The sequence below is a fragment of the Homo sapiens genome, chromosome 1 (genome assembly GCF_000001405.40).
Source record: "Homo sapiens chromosome 1, GRCh38.p14 Primary Assembly".
Lineage (NCBI taxonomy): Eukaryota > Metazoa > Chordata > Mammalia > Primates > Hominidae > Homo > Homo sapiens.
The window spans coordinates 108,646,368-108,662,997 of record NC_000001.11 but is presented as its reverse complement, the minus strand read 5'-3'; the positions used below and the strand labels follow the sequence as shown (position 1 = coordinate 108,662,997).

Genomic DNA, 16,630 nt, shown 5'->3' with positions numbered 1-16,630 from the left:
CTACAAAACTTTTCCATCACCCATTAAACAACTCTCAATTCCCTCCTCCTCTCAGCCCGTAGCAACCACCATTCTACTTTGTCTCTATGAATTTGGCTACTCTAGGTACCTGATATAAATTGAATCATGCAGTATTTGTCCTTCCGTGACTGATTATATATCACTCAGCATATCATCATCAAGATTCATCCATGTGGCAGCAAATGTCAGAATTTCACTCCTTTTAAAGGTTGATTTTCCTGAAACTCTGATTGGAAAAATAAAGGCTGAATATTCCATTGTATGTATATCACATTTTGTTTATTCATCCTTTAATGGACATTTGGGTTGTTTCCACATTTTGGCTACTGTGAATAATGCTGTTACGAACTTTGGTGTACAAATACCTGTTTGAATTCCTGCTTTGAGTATATACCCAGAAGTGAATTTATTATTTAAACATTCTATTTTAAATTACATCCTGTAGTAAGGTGTACACTCCTTTAATGAAGTCTGCTAAAACTAGTTTCCCCAAGTCAACAGGAACCTCTCAAACTGTAATGTGAAATTATCACTGAGTGTTTTTTCTTTTTAGACATGGTCTGGTTCTGTCGCCCAGACTGGAGTGCAGTGGTGCAATCATAGCTCACTGCAGGCTCAGATTCCTGGGGTCAAGTGATCCTCCGGCCTCAGCCTCCCAAACAGTTGGGACCACAGGCAGGCACCACCATGCCCAGCTAATTTCTTTTTTTTTTTGGTAGAGACGGGGTCTCACACTCCGGGGCTCAAGTGATCCCCCAAAGTGCTGGGATTACAGGCGGAAGCCACGGTGCCGGGCCTTATGATTGAATTTTTGAAGCTTATTGTTAGTTATGTACTTCTTTACCTATGACACTAGACTCCCCAAAATGCCAAAAACAAGATTGGTGTAATTTATCATTGTGGTACCCTTAAGCTGTCAGCATAGTGCTTTGCATACAGCAGGCGTTAAATGTTTGAAAATACAGTTCCAATATATCATTTGTGGCATATTAATAGGCTATTAATTCAGTAGCAAAAACACCAGCTTTTGCATCTTTCAAAATATAAGTCAATCTTTTTTCCCTAAAGAAGGCAGCTTCGTCCCTCCCCTCACCCCCCTAATACTCTTCCATCATATACAGGAAAGAAAGTACTTATATATATTAAGTGGAGTCTCCAGAGGGAAGGATGGCAGGATACAATAACTTTTCCAAGAGATCAACAGTTCTATCCACAACACTCGGGGAAAACTATTTCGGGGGTCGGGTGGCGGTGGAGAGGGGGCGTTGGGAGCGGAAAGAACGTTTTTCTGAACGCAGGTGTCACTGGGCCAACTTCACCCAGCCTACATTCCTTTAAGGCCCCCGTGGACTGCTCTGGGATGAAAGCGGAGGCTGACTGGGACTCCAGCCGCCGGCCGCCTCGCGTGGAGCCTTGCTGCTCCTCTTGCCGCCTTCCGCTGGCCAGGACCGTTTTTAGGCCTTTGCCACGCCTCGGGAGCGCCACGAACTCAACAGCCGCCCAAGCCGCCTTCCGGCTCGCGGTCTGCGGACGCGCTCGGAGTTGGGGGCCTTCGCCAACAGCTGCCGTACCGTGCCGCGTCGCAGCCGCACGCTAGCGGGGTCAACGGCGCGGCAGGCGCAGGGGTCCTCGCCAAGGTTCGGAAGAGGACCTTGAAAATGGCTTCTGGGCATGCGCCACAGCGGCCGTTACGAGACGCAAAACCGACGCCTTGGAACTGAGAGCCTAGAGGGACGGAGCTCGGCGCACCATGAGGCTCCCGGGGCCCAAGGCCGACCGTGAGAGCGCACGAGGTTGGCGAGCCCCGCGGGGAGGCCGAGGCGCGGGTGCGGGCGCCGGCGTAGCCGCGGCGGTAGCGTCACGCAGCGAGGCCGTGCGTGCGCGGGCGTCAGGGCGGCGCTGAGTTGAGGACGCTGGCGGCTCCGCGACGAGCTTTGTTTTTTCGGTTGGGCATGCTGCTTACCGCAGGATGATGGAAGCGACGGCCCGTACAAAGACAGAAGCGTTGGTTTCAGTGAGCAGGGTTTCTTTTTCTTTTTCTTTTTTTTTTTTTGAGACGGAGTCTCGCTCTGTCGCCCAGGCTGGAGTGCAGTGGCGGGATCTCGGCTCACTGCAAGCTCCGCCTCCCGGGTTCATGCCATTCTCCTGCCTCAGCCTCCCAAGTAGCTGGGACTACAGGCGCCCGCCACTACGCCCGGCTAATTTTTTGTATTTTTAGTAGAGACGGGGTTTCACCGTTTTAGCCGGGATGGTCTCGATCTCCTGACCTCGTGATCCGCCCGCCTCGGCCTCCCAAAGTGCTGGGATTACAGGCGTGAGCCACCGCGCCCGGCCAGGGTTTCTTAATACAAGTTGGTGACTAACATGTTGCCTAGATTCCAGATTAAAGTCTAGTTGTTGGAGACACATGTGCAATAGAGAACTAAAATTTAAATTCAAGTTCGTGAGTGAATTGAATAGATGTTGGAGCATCTCTAGTTTATCAAGGACACTTTTTTTCCCCCTCGAAATTTCATTTTGACGATGTGTGGAAAAATTTTTGAAAAAATTTGAAGTTGAGGGTCTTAGCAATGAAATGGGCAGAACTCCTAAGATTGCTCCGTTTGTATCTAGTTGAACTATTCATGATAGTAAAGGGAAAGGATGGCTGTTTTCGCTCTTAGTAGGGTTTGACGTAGTGAAAAGTTACGCTTTCTGAGCCTGTTTGCGAATGTCTGAAAAAATACTGGATACATTCTGTGGATTAAATGGTAGTCCACATTTAATCCACAGATTGGCTATTGTGAATAATGCTATGAACTTCGGTGTATAAATATCTGTTCGAGTCCTGCTTTCGTGTTTTTTTTTTTTTTTTTGAGTACTCAGAGGTGAATTCATTATTTACTTTTAAGCGTTCTATTTAAATTATATACTGTAGTAAGGAGTAAGAAAGAGGCTTTCGTTCTTCCCTTCTGAACTAGGCAGCTATTTCTTTCAGGTATCGCTTTACAAAAACGGTTTTGTATTTATTACAGCTGAGTCAGTGCTGATTCTCTCAAATAGAGCTTGAAGGATAAATCTTCATTTTTGTTTCAACAAAACTTCGAAACAAAATGGAAGAAAATAATCTACAGGTAATGCCACCCTTCTTAGCTGCGTCTTTGACTCTTAAGAATTATCACCTGGATGTATTGTGAGATAATTGCAAACAAAATTGATCACATTTAGGTCCTAGCATTTCCCGGGGTGTTGGTTGAGGTAAACAAGGGTATACATAGATGAAAGAGTCACATTTGGTGTATGTAAGTAAAATAAATGTTTTTACTTTTATCACTAGGTGTTAAAGTAGCAAAATCTATTTTAAAAACACTCTAAGTAGTGTTCCCCAATGTGGTTGTGTATATGGATCACCTGGGGATTTTGTTAAGTTGCAGATTCTGTTTAAGGAGGTCTAGGGTGAGGCCCAAGCTTTTGTGTTTCTAAAGTTTCTAGGTGAAGATGCCACTGGTTTGGAAACCACATTGGGAGTACCTAGGGTGTAGCTCCCTGCTGTCCAGTAGCTACACATGGCAAGTGGGCACTTGAAATGTGGCTAGTGGAATTGAGGAACCGAACTTTAATTTTTTTTTTTTTTAAGACAGGGTCTTGCTCTGTTGCCCAGGCTGGAATGCACTTGCCCAGTCACGGTTAACTGCAACGCTGACCACCTGGGCTCATAACTTCATTTTTAATTTTAAGTTTAAAATTGGATATTTGATTACATTATTGGAAAAAAGTATGTTTGGAATAACTTGGGTATGTGCATGTATATTTTAAATGTAAAGTTTTTAAATCCAATACAGACAAGTATTTCTGATGAAGGTTTTGGAACTGAGACGCAGAAGTACAAAATATGTAGCACACTGGATTTTGAAGACTTAATGTGAAAAACAAGAATCTAAAATCTCTTATATTGATTTTATGTAAAAATTATATTTTCGATATATTGGTTTAAATATTCTAATTCCGATTATAATTCCAATTCTTGGGCTACAAGAAAGTTGCCTACTTGTATTTTATCTATTGGACAGTGCTACATCAGATATCAAATACCCTTTGGACTACTTTTATAATACTGCTGTATAGGAATAGTAACAGCTATTACAGATTAATCTTATAAATTCTGTTTTTTCTTGGGGTCATGTTAAAGAAAAAATTAGTCTGACTTTATTGAGGACTGTTGCAATAAGAACATTGCAAAGATGAAGAATTTGACCAGATAGGGTGATCAGATATCAGGGGTAGAAGATTCTGTCTAAACTGACTTAGAAGTATTCTTATTAAAACTGGGCTAGGCAGCCCAAAGATAGGATTGGGGCCAGGGTTTGAGGTCTATTCAAGAAGATGGCTCAGAGGAACCTGACTGAAGTTTGGTCAGTGAGAGAGTCTTTTGCTGGTGTGTTGGAATGTTCCTACAGATGCCCAACTACTCAGGAGGCCGAGGCCAGAGGATTGCTTGAGCCCAGGAATTTTAAACCAGCCTGGGCGACATAGTGAGATCCTCTCTCTCTCTTAAAAAGAGTGTTGGCTGGGTGTGGTGGCTTACACCTGTAATCCCAGCACTTTGGGAGGCCAAGGCGGGTGGATCACGAGGTCAGGAGTTCAAGAAGAGCCTGGCCAACATGGTGAAACCCGTCACTACTAAATACAAAAATTAGCCAGGCATGGTGGCGCATGCCTGTAATGTAATCCCAGCTACTCGGGAGGCTGAGGCAGGAGAATTGCTTGAATTGAGGGAGGCGGAGGTTGCAGTGAGCTGAGATCGCGCCACTGCACTCCAGCCTGGGTGACAGAGCAAGACTCCGTCTTGGGGGGAAAAAAAAAATATATATATATATATGTGTGTGTGTGTGTGTGTATATATGTGTGTGTGTGTGTGTGTGTGTGTACATATATATGTGTGTGTGTGTGTATATATATGTGTGTGTGTGTAAGTGTGTGTACATATATGTGTGTGTGTGTGTGTATATATATGTGTGTGTGTATATATATATAGTCAGTCATTATAAATATTTTCCAGCCTCCTGCCTACTTGGACCACAGGCTTTGGCGACTCACTCCACAAAAGGTCCCTTATGGTTAGGAGTCATCTAATTGTTTTCATTGAATACATTCATTGGTAATGTTCCCTTCAGCTGAAACTAAGCTATAGGGAGCATACAGCTAGATTCTCTCTTGTTAAAAGGCATGAGAGGATGCTTACATGAACTGTGGAGGAAATGCAGTGCTACCTAATGATTTTAGGACAAAGGGTATGTGAAGGCCAGTGTGTTTTTCAAAGTGATTGGGGGAAATAAAGTTTTTTTTTTTTTGCCCCTTATTTAATTTCTGAAGTCATGCATGATTTAGAACCTGTCTTTTTTTGTTTGTGAACTTCAGTGCAGTAGTGTGGTTGACGGTAATTTTGAAGAAGTTCCCAGGGAGACGGCAATTCAGTTTAAACCTCCACTATACAGACAGCGGTACCAGTTCGTTAAAAATTTAGTGGATCAACATGAGCCTAAGAAGGTAGGTATTTCTCTTTCCAAACATTTAATTATTAAGACTAGTAGACTAGTCATATGAGGTGTTTTGTCAAATGGATTAGTATGGAGAGACTTTTCACAGGGGTTATTGCAATAGGGAGAATGCCGTAACCACAAGATCTGCAGGTGTCTCAAGAGTTAAGCAAAAGGGGTTTTTCTTTTACTGGAGAAGTGAACAAAGCTAGAAACTAGGGAGGTGGGATGAGAGGGTGGTTTGAAAGGACAGTGGAATGGGGAGCCTTAAGGAGGGGGCTGTTTCCTCAGGCTGTAGTGCAGGGCCCTGGGGGAAGAAGTAAAGTTTGAATAAAGTATGGTTAAAAAAGGAATTTTCTTCCCATTGATCAGTGGGGACAAGTATTCATGATAATCATTTGAGGCAAAGAATGGAAACACAAGGAATCTTATCTAAGTTTTATGGAGGAGGGTGGTTTTTTGCAGTGAGCCCTTTCCTGGAACACAAAGCACAGGTGGATTCCTTTAGCAGATGCCAGAAACACAGGGCTCAGACAGAATTCAGCATTGTCAGGTTCAAATGTGAAGAAAATCTTAAGATTTTATAGTTGGATGTGATCTTGTAGGTACCGTACTTCTAGAGCATTTAGTTAGAATATCAGGCAAACTGGTATTGTAGCCACAGGTATTGTGGTTCTTTTAAAATTAGATGATAATGGGCCGGGTGCAATGGTTTACACCTGTAATTCCGGCACTTTGGGAGGCTGAGGCAGGTGGCTAGCTTGAGACCAGCCTGGCACCATAGTGAGACCCTGTGTCTACAAAAAATAAAATTAGCTGTGCATGGTGGTGCGTGCCTATAGTCCCAGTTACTCAGGAGGCTGAGGTGGGAGGATCCCTTGAGCCCAGGAGGTTGAGGCTGCAGTGAGCTGTTATCACCTGCATTCCAGCCTGGGCAACAGAGAAAGAGCCCGTCTCAAAAAGAAAATTAGATCATAATGAACCTACTCGGTTAACTTCAGAGTAAAGTCATAATTGCATATAATCTACATCCATCCATCCATACCTGGTTACTATACTAATGGATTGGATGTGAATTAGATGCGGGTAAGGTGAATTTCTAGATGAAAGCTTTCTTTTTCTGCTTGATGTTGAAGACTCAGTGAAGATTCCTGTGTGTGAAGGTTTCCCTTAACTCCACCACTACTGTTTCTACACTTGGACACAAAGGCGTAGGTATTAGTTTATATCTTTGTAGCCATCTAGGCATGTGTATTCAGGTAAAGCATCTAAAATTGGCTTTTTGGCAGCTCAGAGTTCAGTATGGAATTTCAGATGGTTTGAGGTAATTGTTTAATCAAATAAATGTGTGAGGGGTGAAAGCTAAGTTTTAGAAAGCTTTGTTTGCTGAAATATGCTGAGAATATTTGACTCCAAATTCTGATTCTGAATGGGAAAACTGTGTGTACGTAATTGTTTCTCATTAGTTCAATATAGACAATAACAGTTGTTCTGGAATAGGAATGGACCTTTCTATTTTAGTGTGATCAAATAGAAATTTGCCTATGGGCTTATAAAGTTTCAGGTTAGTGTGTGTGTGTGTGTGTGTGTGTGTGTGTGTGTGTGTGTGTGTAGCATCTTCTGCCAAAAAGATCCTTCCATATAATACTTTCATTATTTTATTACTGATATATACTCCACTCTCTCCTCCTCAAAAAAAAGTTTTTGATCATACTTCTCTTGCTATAAATGTCTTTGAAATAACATTCTGTCTCATCTACAGGTTGCAGACCTGGGATGTGGTGATACTTCACTCTTAAGGCTGCTAAAAGTCAATCCATGCATTGAATTGCTTGTTGGAGTAGATATTAATGAGGATAAATTACGATGGAGAGGGTAATACTTAGTTTCTGAAAGAATTATGCGTTAATCTAAAACTAATGGCATTATTGAGTTTAGAGAAAGTGTTGATTTTATATTTGTTTTAAAAGATTGGGGCCATTAGGGATCTTCAACTCACTGAATAATCAGGCTTTGCCATAACACTAAAAATACCTGCATTTTATTGCTACCAACTTAAAGAATAGCCTCAATTAAATGATTATAATAATCAAAGCATTGTAAATTAAAATTCAGATAGCAAAATCTCATCACTTTAATGCTGGACACTATGATAATTTATAGCAGAGGATTTAAAATGCCCCAGAACACTGAGGCCAAGGCTCCAGGCCACCGCCTGCATTTTGAACCATAGCATTTCTCCTATCTCTTGTATATATAGTATATATACATTAGATTTCCACAGATTGCTTCAAGAATATTCTTTTTCTAAAGAACAAAAATCTCAAAATCACTGAATCAAAGTAAGCTGGAAAACCAAAAGTATTACAAATGAAAACAATATAACAATATTAAATATTCAGTCTTTTTTTCATTGGCCAGTAACTTCCCACTGTGAGAGGAAGTTTCCCCATGACCTGGTCTTTAATATGTCAAGACAAGGAAAACAGGCTGTGTCAGACTTATATCAATAGAGGTAGAAGATAATTATCAGAGGATCTGAGTTCTGTAGCTGGTGAGAATTTTTAAATAGATAATGTTCAGAAAGTTTCTTCAATAATTATTTTGCAGGGATTCGTTAGCTCCTTTCCTGGGGGATTTTCTGAAACCTCGGGATCTGAATTTGACCATCACATTGTATCATGGCTCCGTTGTGGAGAGAGACTCTCGTTTGCTTGGATTTGACTTGATAACGTGTATTGAATTGTAAGTTTTAAACTGATACACTGTATAACTGTTCATTTGAAAAGCCTGAATAAGTCTCAGTGATCTTAGTGTCCTAAATATAATAGGTCTTGATTATTGTAAGGAAAACTGCTCATTGGTTGGGAATATCTTTTTACTCTGCTTTTCCAACATTTTACTTAGAAATTTCAAGTATACAGATAAATTGCCACAAATACATAGTACCAAGAATACCTATACCCCCCTTTATCCAGATGTTAACATCTCACTTTTTAAATCATTTGTACATTGCACCCTCCCTCTCCTGTTCACCCCTCCTCCATCTCCCTTTAGAGTTATTTTTTTTCCTGAATCAATTAAGGGTATACACATGGCCTTTTGCCTCTACTAAAAAATTCAGTTTAAAAGTTGGAGGCCTCACACTACTTGACTTGAAAATGTACTACAAAGCAGTAGTAATAAAAACATCGTGGTTCTGGTATAAAAACAGAGACATAGACCAATGGAACAGAATAGAGAGAACCCAGAAATAAATCCATGCATTTACAGCCAACTGATTTCAACAAAGACACCAAGAACATACATTGGCAAAAGGACACCCTCCTCAATAAATGGTACTGGGAAAACTGCATATCCATATGCAGAATGAAATTAGACTCCTATCTCTCACTGTATACAAGCATCAACTCAAGATGGATTAACGAGTTAATTGCAGACCTAAAACTATGAAAGTACTGGAAGAAAACAGGAAATGCTTCAGGACATTGGTCTAGGCAAAGATTTTGAGTAAGACTACAAAAGCACAGGCTACAAACAGAAATACACAAATGGGAATATATGAAACTGAAAGGTTTCTGCACAGCAAAGAATAGAGTGAACAGAACCTATAGAATGGGAGAAAATACTTGCAAAGTATTCATCAAGGGATTAATATCTAGAATATACAAGAATCTCAACAGCAAAAAAACCCCAAATAAAAAGTGGGCAAAGGACCTGAACAGATATTTCTCAAAAGACATACAGATGGTTAACAAGTAGATGAAAAAATGCTCAACATCACTAGTCATCAGGGAAATGCAACTCAACCACAGTGAGATATCTCACCCCATTTAGAATGGCTGTTATTAAAAAGACAGTAAATGCTGGCAAGGATGCAGAGAAAGGGAACTCATATAAACTGGTGTGAATGTAAATTAGTACAGCCGTTATTGAAAACAGTGTGGAGGTTTTTCAAAAAACTGAAAATAGAACTGCCATGTGATCTAGCAATCCCACTACTGGGTATTTATCCAAAGGAAAGAAATCAGTTATATTGAAGAGAGATGTGCACCCCAATGTTTATTAACAGCACAGTAGCCAGGATACGGAATCTACCTAAATGTCCATCAGTAGATGAATGGATAAAGAAAGTGTGGTATTTAGGCTGGGCATGGTGGCTCACGCCTGTAATCCCAGCACTTTGGGAGGCCGAGGCAGGTGGATCACCTGAGGTCAGGAGTTCAAGAGCAGCCTGGCCAACATGGTGAAACCCCGTCTCTAGTAAAAATACAAAAAAATTAGCTGGGCGTGATAATGGGCCCCTGTAATCCCAGCTACTTGGGAGGCTGAGGCAGGAGAATCACTTGAACCTTGGAGGCAGAGGTTGCAGTGAGCCAAGATCACGCCATTGCACAACGAGCAAAACTCCGTCTCAAAAAAAAAAAAGGGATGTATATGCACAATGGAATACTATTCAGCCCTAAAAAAGGAATGAAATTGTCATGGATGAACCTGGAGGGCATTAAGTGAAATAAGTCAGGCATAGAAACACTGTTGCCTGGGCTGGAGTGCAATGGCGCGATCTCGGCTCACTGCAACCTCTGCCTCCTGGGTTCAAGTGATTCTTTTGCCTCAGCCTCCCGAGCAGCTGGGATTACAGGTGCCTGCCACCACACCTGGCTAATTTTTTGTATTTTTAGTAGAGATGGGGTTTCACCCTATTGGCCAGGCTGGTCTTGAACCCCTGACCTCGTAATCTGCCCACCTCGGCCTCCCAAAGTGCTGGTATTACAGGCGTGAGCCACTGTGCCTGGCTGGTTTACAATTTTCTTGTGAATTGCATAGAAGCTCAGCCCTCTGTGAAGCATTTTTGTCAATGTCTAGTTTGCTTAGGACACACTGACTTAGATGGGATGGCAGCAAGACTTTGTCAGACCCGGTTTTGGTAACATTTAATTGTTATATAATTGCAAATTTACAGAAGTTGCAGGAATGGTCCAAGGAATTCTCATCTGTTCTTTACCTAGATTTACCACTTATTTATATTTGATCCTATTTACTGTGTCTTTTTCCCTAAATATAACTTTCTACGTGTATTTTTTATCTGAACCATCTCAGAGTAGGTTGGATACACTGTGTCCTGTTACCCTAGATACCTTGGTATGTATATTCTGAGAACAAAGACTTCTTACCATAACCATGTAATTCTATCAGGAAATTGAACATTGATACAGTACGATTACCTAATCTAAGTCCACATTCAGCATTCATCATTTGTTCCAGTAATGTCTTTCTATAGCTATTTTAAAATTTAGCTATAATTTAAAATGGCCCAAGATCACACAATGCATTTGTCACGTTTGCCTGGGCTCCTTTAATCTGAAGCAGGTCTGTGCAGCCTTTCTGCCTGGTCCTATTTGCCCTTGATATTTCTGAAGAATATGTGCTATTTTCTAGAATGTCGCTGTATCTGAGTGTCTCCTCATTATCAGATTCAGGGCATGCATTTTTGACAAGAATATCATAGAAGTGATTTTGTCCTCCTTGATGCATTATATCAGGGAGGTATAACCTCAGAGACTTTTTTTTAGAGGTATTGATAATGAGGCCATAGAGCACAGCAAAGGACCTTGGTTGGATAAGGGAGCCATCATAGATGGAGTTGGGGGGTAGGAAAGGATGAGAATATATGAATAATTGTTCTTTTTCCCCCTCCCCTCCCCTCCCTTCCCCTCTCTTCTCTTCTCTCTCTTTCTCTTTCTTTCTGTCTGTCTCTCTCTCTTTCTTTTCTTTCTTTCCTTCCTTCCTTCCTTCTTTCTTTTTCTTCTATCTTTCTTGACTGAGTTTTGCTTGTCACCCAGGCTGGAGAGCAATGGTGCAATCTTGGCTTGCTGCAACCTCTGCCTCCTGGGTTCAAGTGATTCTCCCGCCTCAGCCTCCCGAGTAGCTGGGATTACAGGCATGCACCACCACACCCAGCAAAATTTTGTATTTTTAGTAGAGACAAGGTTTCATCATGTTGGCCGGGCTGGTCTTTAACTCTTGACCTTGGGTGATCCATCCACCTTGGCCTCCCAAAGTGTTGGGATTACAGGCGTGAGCCACTGTGCCTGGCCCGAATAATTGTTCTTAGGTCATATAAGCATTATTACATATTCAAAGAAGGGAGAAATCGATACACAGATGGAAATTGTTTTTGATAAATCAATTAGAAAAATAGGTGCAAGTGAAGCTAGATTTTATTATGTCTTTCTCATTAACCATTTTAGAATAGAACATTTGGATTCAGGTGATCTGGCCAGATTTCCTGAAGTGGTATTTGGGTACCTGTCTCCATCCATGATTGTCATCAGCACACCAAACTCTGAATTCAATCCCCTGTTTCCATCAGTGACCTTAAGAGATTCAGATCATAAATTTGAGTGGACCAGAATGGAGTTTCAGACCTGGTAAGTTCAGAAGGGTTTTTGTTTATTTGGGATCCTGTTGGAGTTTAAAATCTTAGGAAATAAATATTGATATACATACATTACCTAAATTGTTTTGTACTTTCTTCCAATAAAATTGATTCCAATGTGTGACTTAGTATGTAATAAGATCACAAAGGAACCATTGCATTTGGGCAAGTGTGGAAAGGGGGTGTGGTTACTGGGCACCTTTTATGTGAAGGCATCTGTAGTACTGGCATGGAGATGAGGAACAAAACAGAGGGAAGGTTTGGGACAGTGAGAATGAGCCTCATGCCCCTCCCCGGGATATCTCCTGAGGCTTAGTCATGTTTTCTGGTGTAATTGCAAACCCAAATGGGTAGTTGGGTTGAGCACTTGTTGCCTCCTTGTCCACCCCTACACCCTGCCCATAATTTTCCTTTCGTCTTCCATATTCTTAGGGTAAATTGGAAACTGACACTATATCCTTGCCTTGACTTCTCTTAGAAATAAATACACTGGTGGTTAGGAATTTGTAACTTAGAAGTATTTATGTTCATTGTATTTTTCATGTTCTCTTTTACTGCTGACCAGAAATGGTTCCTTATTTAACAGTAGCTCTACATTTAGAAAAATGATTGCTGTCCTCGTTTTGGTTTCAGGGCTTTATATGTGGCAAATCGCTATGATTACTCTGTGGAGTTTACTGGTGTCGGGGAACCACCAGCTGGAGCTGAGAATGTTGGATACTGTACCCAGATAGGAATCTTCCGGAAAAATGGAGGAAAGGCAACAGAATCATGTCTTTCAGAGCAGCATGATCAGCATGTTTATAAAGCTGTGAGTATTCTTTGTGAGATAGCTATCAGGGCTAGAGATACATTAGGATGGTGAACTTTTTTGGGGAGTAAGAATCCCCAAAGTAGAGATGAGTGTAAATGACCTTGCTTTGTGGTTCACTCTAGGAGAATTCTTCAGGCCCCATGACTACTGTCCGAGTTAGCCTACGGTGTCCTTTGAGACTGCCTGGCCTTTTGGTGTTTCAAGGCATGTTAAAGGGAATGATCTGCTGGGGTTGTCTTAGAATACTTCAAAGTAGCTGGGTACAGTGGCTCACACCTGTGATCCTAGCATGTTGGGAGGCCAAGGTAGAAAGATTGCTTGAACCCAGGAGTTCGAGTGCAGCCTGGACAACATAGTGAGATCTCCCATCTCTACAAAAAAACACCCAGAATACTTGAAAGCAATAGTTGAGCAACCTCTTTTTGTAATCTGTTAGGATTATCAGTAGTAAAAAGGAAAGCCAGCAGCAGTTTCTCCCCAGCTTGGCTTAGGACATTACTCTTTGAGCCTACAAACTTCTCAGACCCTTTTGGTTTAAAGAGAGAAGAAGAAGAAACACTTCCTCCCCCTCTTTAAAAATTTTATTTAATTAGGGACAGGGTCTTGTTCTGTCACCGAGGCTGGAGTGCACCGGCACAATCATGGCTCACTGTAACCTTGAATTCCTGGGCACAAACGATCCTCCCACTTGAGCCTCCTAAGTAGCTAGGACGACAGGCGTGCACCACCATGCTCAGCTTTTTTTTGTTTTGTTTTTTGTTTTTTTTTCCGTAGAGACAGGGTCTCACTATGTTGCCCAGGCTGGTCTTGAACTTCCATCCTCAAGCAATCCTCCTGCCCCATCTTCCTAAAATGCTGAGATTACAGGTGTGAGTCACTGCACTTACCCACGTTTTCCCTTTTAACTGAACCATTTTTCATTTTTTTTTGCCCTTGCCCCTGTAATATCAAGTAGAAATACTGGGTTCATGTGACTTGGTAGAAACCTGGCTGGGAGACATTGGGCATTAGCATTAGAAAGCAAATCGGATAGTTAATTTCTATGTGTCAGTGATTTGATTCCCATTATAACTGAGGCATTTACGATTAGTAGGATCTGACATATATTCAATATGTACATTTATTCTTACATGGCAAAAAAGTTATTGATGGCTTTGAAAATTTATGTATGTTTATATTATTATACACTTGTAAGTGTTTTGTTTTTTCCCTTCAGGTTTTTACCACCTCATACCCAAGCTTACAGCAGGAAAGGTTCTTTAAACTTGTGTTGGTTAATGAGGTGTCCCAACAAGTGGAAAGCTTAAGAGTGAGCCACCTGCCAAGGCGGAAAGAACAGGCTGGGGAACGGGGTGATAAGCCCAAAGACATTGGTGGCTCAAAGGCCCCTGTCCCATGCTTTGGACCAGTCTTCACAGAGGTTGAGAAGGCCAAGATAGAGAACTCTCCCACACCCTTCTGTGTTGGAGATAAATTTTTCGTACCTCTGCAGAGACTCCTTGCGTATCCCAAGTTGAACCGCTTATGTGCTAATGAAGAGATGATGAGATCAGTCATTGCTGACTCAATTCCTCTGAGCAGTGATGGTTCTGCAGTGGTGGCTGACCTGCGTAATTATTTTGATGAACAGTTTGAGTTTTGAACCATGTTTATTTCCTGAAATTTCAGGGTCTCAGCGATAGTTGTGCTCACTTAGAATTTAGTTTTTTTTGTGTAATCCTAATTCAAGTAATGTTTTTAAAGTTTCACTGCAAAAGTCTATGTTCCAAGCCATTGGACAGACCTGCTTGAGATATGGCCAGACTGCAGTGAGCCCTGAGAAAGATATGAGGGTTTAAAACGGGTGCTTTCCTTTGATTTTGGACTTTTTTGTTTTCTCAAGAATAAAGAAGTTGGATGTGGTAATATGTTAATTTTGAACTTACCTATTTTTTTTGTGTTAAAGCCATGAGTTGATTGTTGTTAGTCTGTTCTCACATTGCTGTGAAGAACTACCTGAGACTGGGTAATTTATAAAGAAAAGAGGTTTAATTGACTTACAGTTCTGCAGGCTGCACAGGAAGCATGCAGGAAGCTGGGGAGGCCTCAGGAAACTTACAGTCTTGGTGGAAGGCGAAGGGGAAGCAGGCACGTCTTATATAGCTAGAGCCGGAGGAAGAGAGCTTGGGGAGGTCTACACACTTTTAAACAACCAGGTTTAATAACAAGAATAGCAAGGGGGAAATCCGCCCTCATAACCCAATCACCTCCCACCAGCCCCCTCCTCCAATATTGGGGATTACAATTTGACATGAGATTTGGGCAAGGACAGAAATACAAACCATATCAATTGTGATATTAAAAATTTAAGAGAAAGTTATCAAATATAGTGTTCAAAACCTTTTCTTTGGGGTAAGAGTAGCTTTAAAATTTTTCTGGGATTCTCTATCTCCTTAATGCCAAATTCTAACCTGTGTAATATTTAGCCTAGAACATCAATAAAACAGGAATGCAGGTGGTTGGAGGGCATAGAAGCCTCTTCATGATGTAATTGCTGTCCATGTTTTGTTGTTGTTGTTGTTGTTTTTTTGAGACAGGGTCTTGTTCTGTTACCCAGGCTGGAGTGCAGTGGCACAATCATGGCTCATTGTAGCCTCAGCCTCTGGGCTAAAATAATCCTCCCACCTCACCTCCTCCCCACCAGTAGCTTGAACTACTGGCATGTACCACCATGCCCAGCTAATTAAAAATTTGTAGAGATAGGGTCTCACTATGTTGCCCAGACTGGTCTTGAACTTCTGGGCTCAAGTGGTCCTCCTGCCTCAGCTTCCCAAAGTGCTGGGATTGTTTTTTGAGCACCCTCTTCTGAGGATGGAATTGGGGTGGTAGTACTTCTCTGGTTGGAATTGGGGTGGTAGTACTAATGGGAGAAAGAAACATAGCTTCACCTCATGGGGGAAAACAGTAGTTTAAATGAGAGGCATTTCTTAGGCACAGGAGTCCAGAGGTAAGCCCCAGGCATGGGAGCTCTGCCACTTTTGGGACCCAGACGTCCATCTTGCATGTTGTGGCTACTTAGTATGCCATCCAGGGACAGAGAGAGAGATTTGAGCTCTGGCTACTACTTTCATATTCTGAAACAGCAGAAAGAAGAGAAGGGACAAAGGGCACACACAAGCTGTCTGGTAAAGCTTGCTGTGGGTTGTTACGCAACACGACTGCTTACTTCCTGTTGATCAGAATGTGGTCTTCAGGCCACACAAAGGGAAGCTGATATATTAGTCTGTTCTTGCATTGCTGTAAAGAAATAGCAGAGACTGGGTAATAAAGAGGTTTATTGGCTCATGGTTCCACAGAGTGTACAGGAAGCATAGCAGCTTCTGCTTCTGGGGAGGCCTCAGGAAACTTCCAGTAATGGCAGAAGGCAAAGGGTTGGGGCGGGGCGAGGCATCTCACATGGTGGGAACAGGAGCAAGGCGGAGCGAGGGGTGGTGCTGAACACGTTTAAGCAGGTCTTGGGCGGACTCTGTCACGAGAACAGCACTAAGGGGATGGTGCGAAACCATTCACAAAGGACCCACCCCCATGATCACTTCCCAGCAGGCCCCTCCTTCAATATCAGGGATTACAGTTTGACATGAGATTTGAATGGGGACACAGATCCAAACCGTATCAGCTGCGAAATACAGTTTTTATTCTGGGAGGTCATGTGTCCACTTGGTCTGCCAAGGAACAAGGGGAGAAGGAACACTGGCAAATAACCATCTGTGCCACAGCTAGGACATCCTGAGCGGTCTGGAATGGGGGCTATGGAGATGCAGAGTTGGTGCCTGGGAGAGGGCTGGGGGGAGTAATTCTCAA

General features: G+C 42.1%; 1 protein-coding gene across 3 annotated transcripts, besides 3 other annotated features; it reads left to right on the top strand.

The window, feature by feature from the left end:
* Positions 1,008-1,596: an enhancer, noted in NCBI's record as "H3K27ac-H3K4me1 hESC enhancer chr1:109204024-109204612 (GRCh37/hg19 assembly coordinates)". NCBI's record gives its function as "activates a minimal SCP1, AML or CMV promoter by ChIP-STARR-seq in naive H9 embryonic stem cells {active_cell/tissue: H9 hESC(naive)}" and the evidence as "EXISTENCE:reporter gene assay evidence [ECO:0000049][PMID:30033119]".
* HENMT1 (HEN methyltransferase 1) lies at positions 1,524-14,703 on the top strand. 3 transcript variants are annotated; one of them, NM_144584.3, is made up of 8 exons: positions 1,524-1,814; positions 3,036-3,134; positions 5,419-5,547; positions 7,300-7,412; positions 8,148-8,282; positions 11,789-11,968; positions 12,610-12,787; positions 14,007-14,703. In NM_144584.3, the coding sequence occupies exons 2-8, from the start codon at positions 3,114-3,116 to the stop codon at positions 14,430-14,432; spliced, it is 1,182 nt and encodes a 393-aa protein (NP_653185.2). In that variant the 5' UTR covers positions 1,524-1,814; positions 3,036-3,113; the 3' UTR covers positions 14,433-14,703. The 3 variants fall into 3 exon arrangements, with proteins under 3 accessions (NP_653185.2, NP_001096062.1, XP_005270468.1); NM_001102592.2 differs by lacking the exon at positions 1,524-1,814 and adding an exon at positions 1,905-2,035; XM_005270411.2 differs by lacking the exons at positions 1,524-1,814; positions 3,036-3,134 and adding an exon at positions 1,905-2,035.
* Positions 1,597-2,186: an enhancer, noted in NCBI's record as "H3K27ac-H3K4me1 hESC enhancer chr1:109203434-109204023 (GRCh37/hg19 assembly coordinates)". NCBI's record gives its function as "activates a minimal SCP1, AML or CMV promoter by ChIP-STARR-seq in naive H9 embryonic stem cells {active_cell/tissue: H9 hESC(naive)}" and the evidence as "EXISTENCE:reporter gene assay evidence [ECO:0000049][PMID:30033119]".
* Positions 1,772-1,941: a silencer, noted in NCBI's record as "silent region_1136". NCBI's record gives its function as "represses an Ori minimal core promoter by ATAC-STARR-seq in GM12878 lymphoblastoid cells {active_cell/tissue: GM12878}" and the evidence as "EXISTENCE:reporter gene assay evidence [ECO:0000049][PMID:35858748]".
* Positions 14,704-16,630: the final 1,927 nt, after the last annotated feature.

Bases quoted from the DNA above. Each gene is read 5' to 3' on its own strand.
- HENMT1 (XM_005270411.2), top strand. From the start codon at position 1,991: ATGATGGAAGCGACGGCCCGTACAAAGACAGAAGCGTTGGTTTCA. The intron at 7,413-8,147 runs GTAATACTTAGT...ATTATTTTGCAG, and splicing joins GATAAATTACGATGGAGAGG to GGATTCGTTAGCTCCTTTCC. The intron at 12,788-14,006 runs GTGAGTATTCTT...TTTTCCCTTCAG, and splicing joins ATCAGCATGTTTATAAAGCT to GTTTTTACCACCTCATACCC.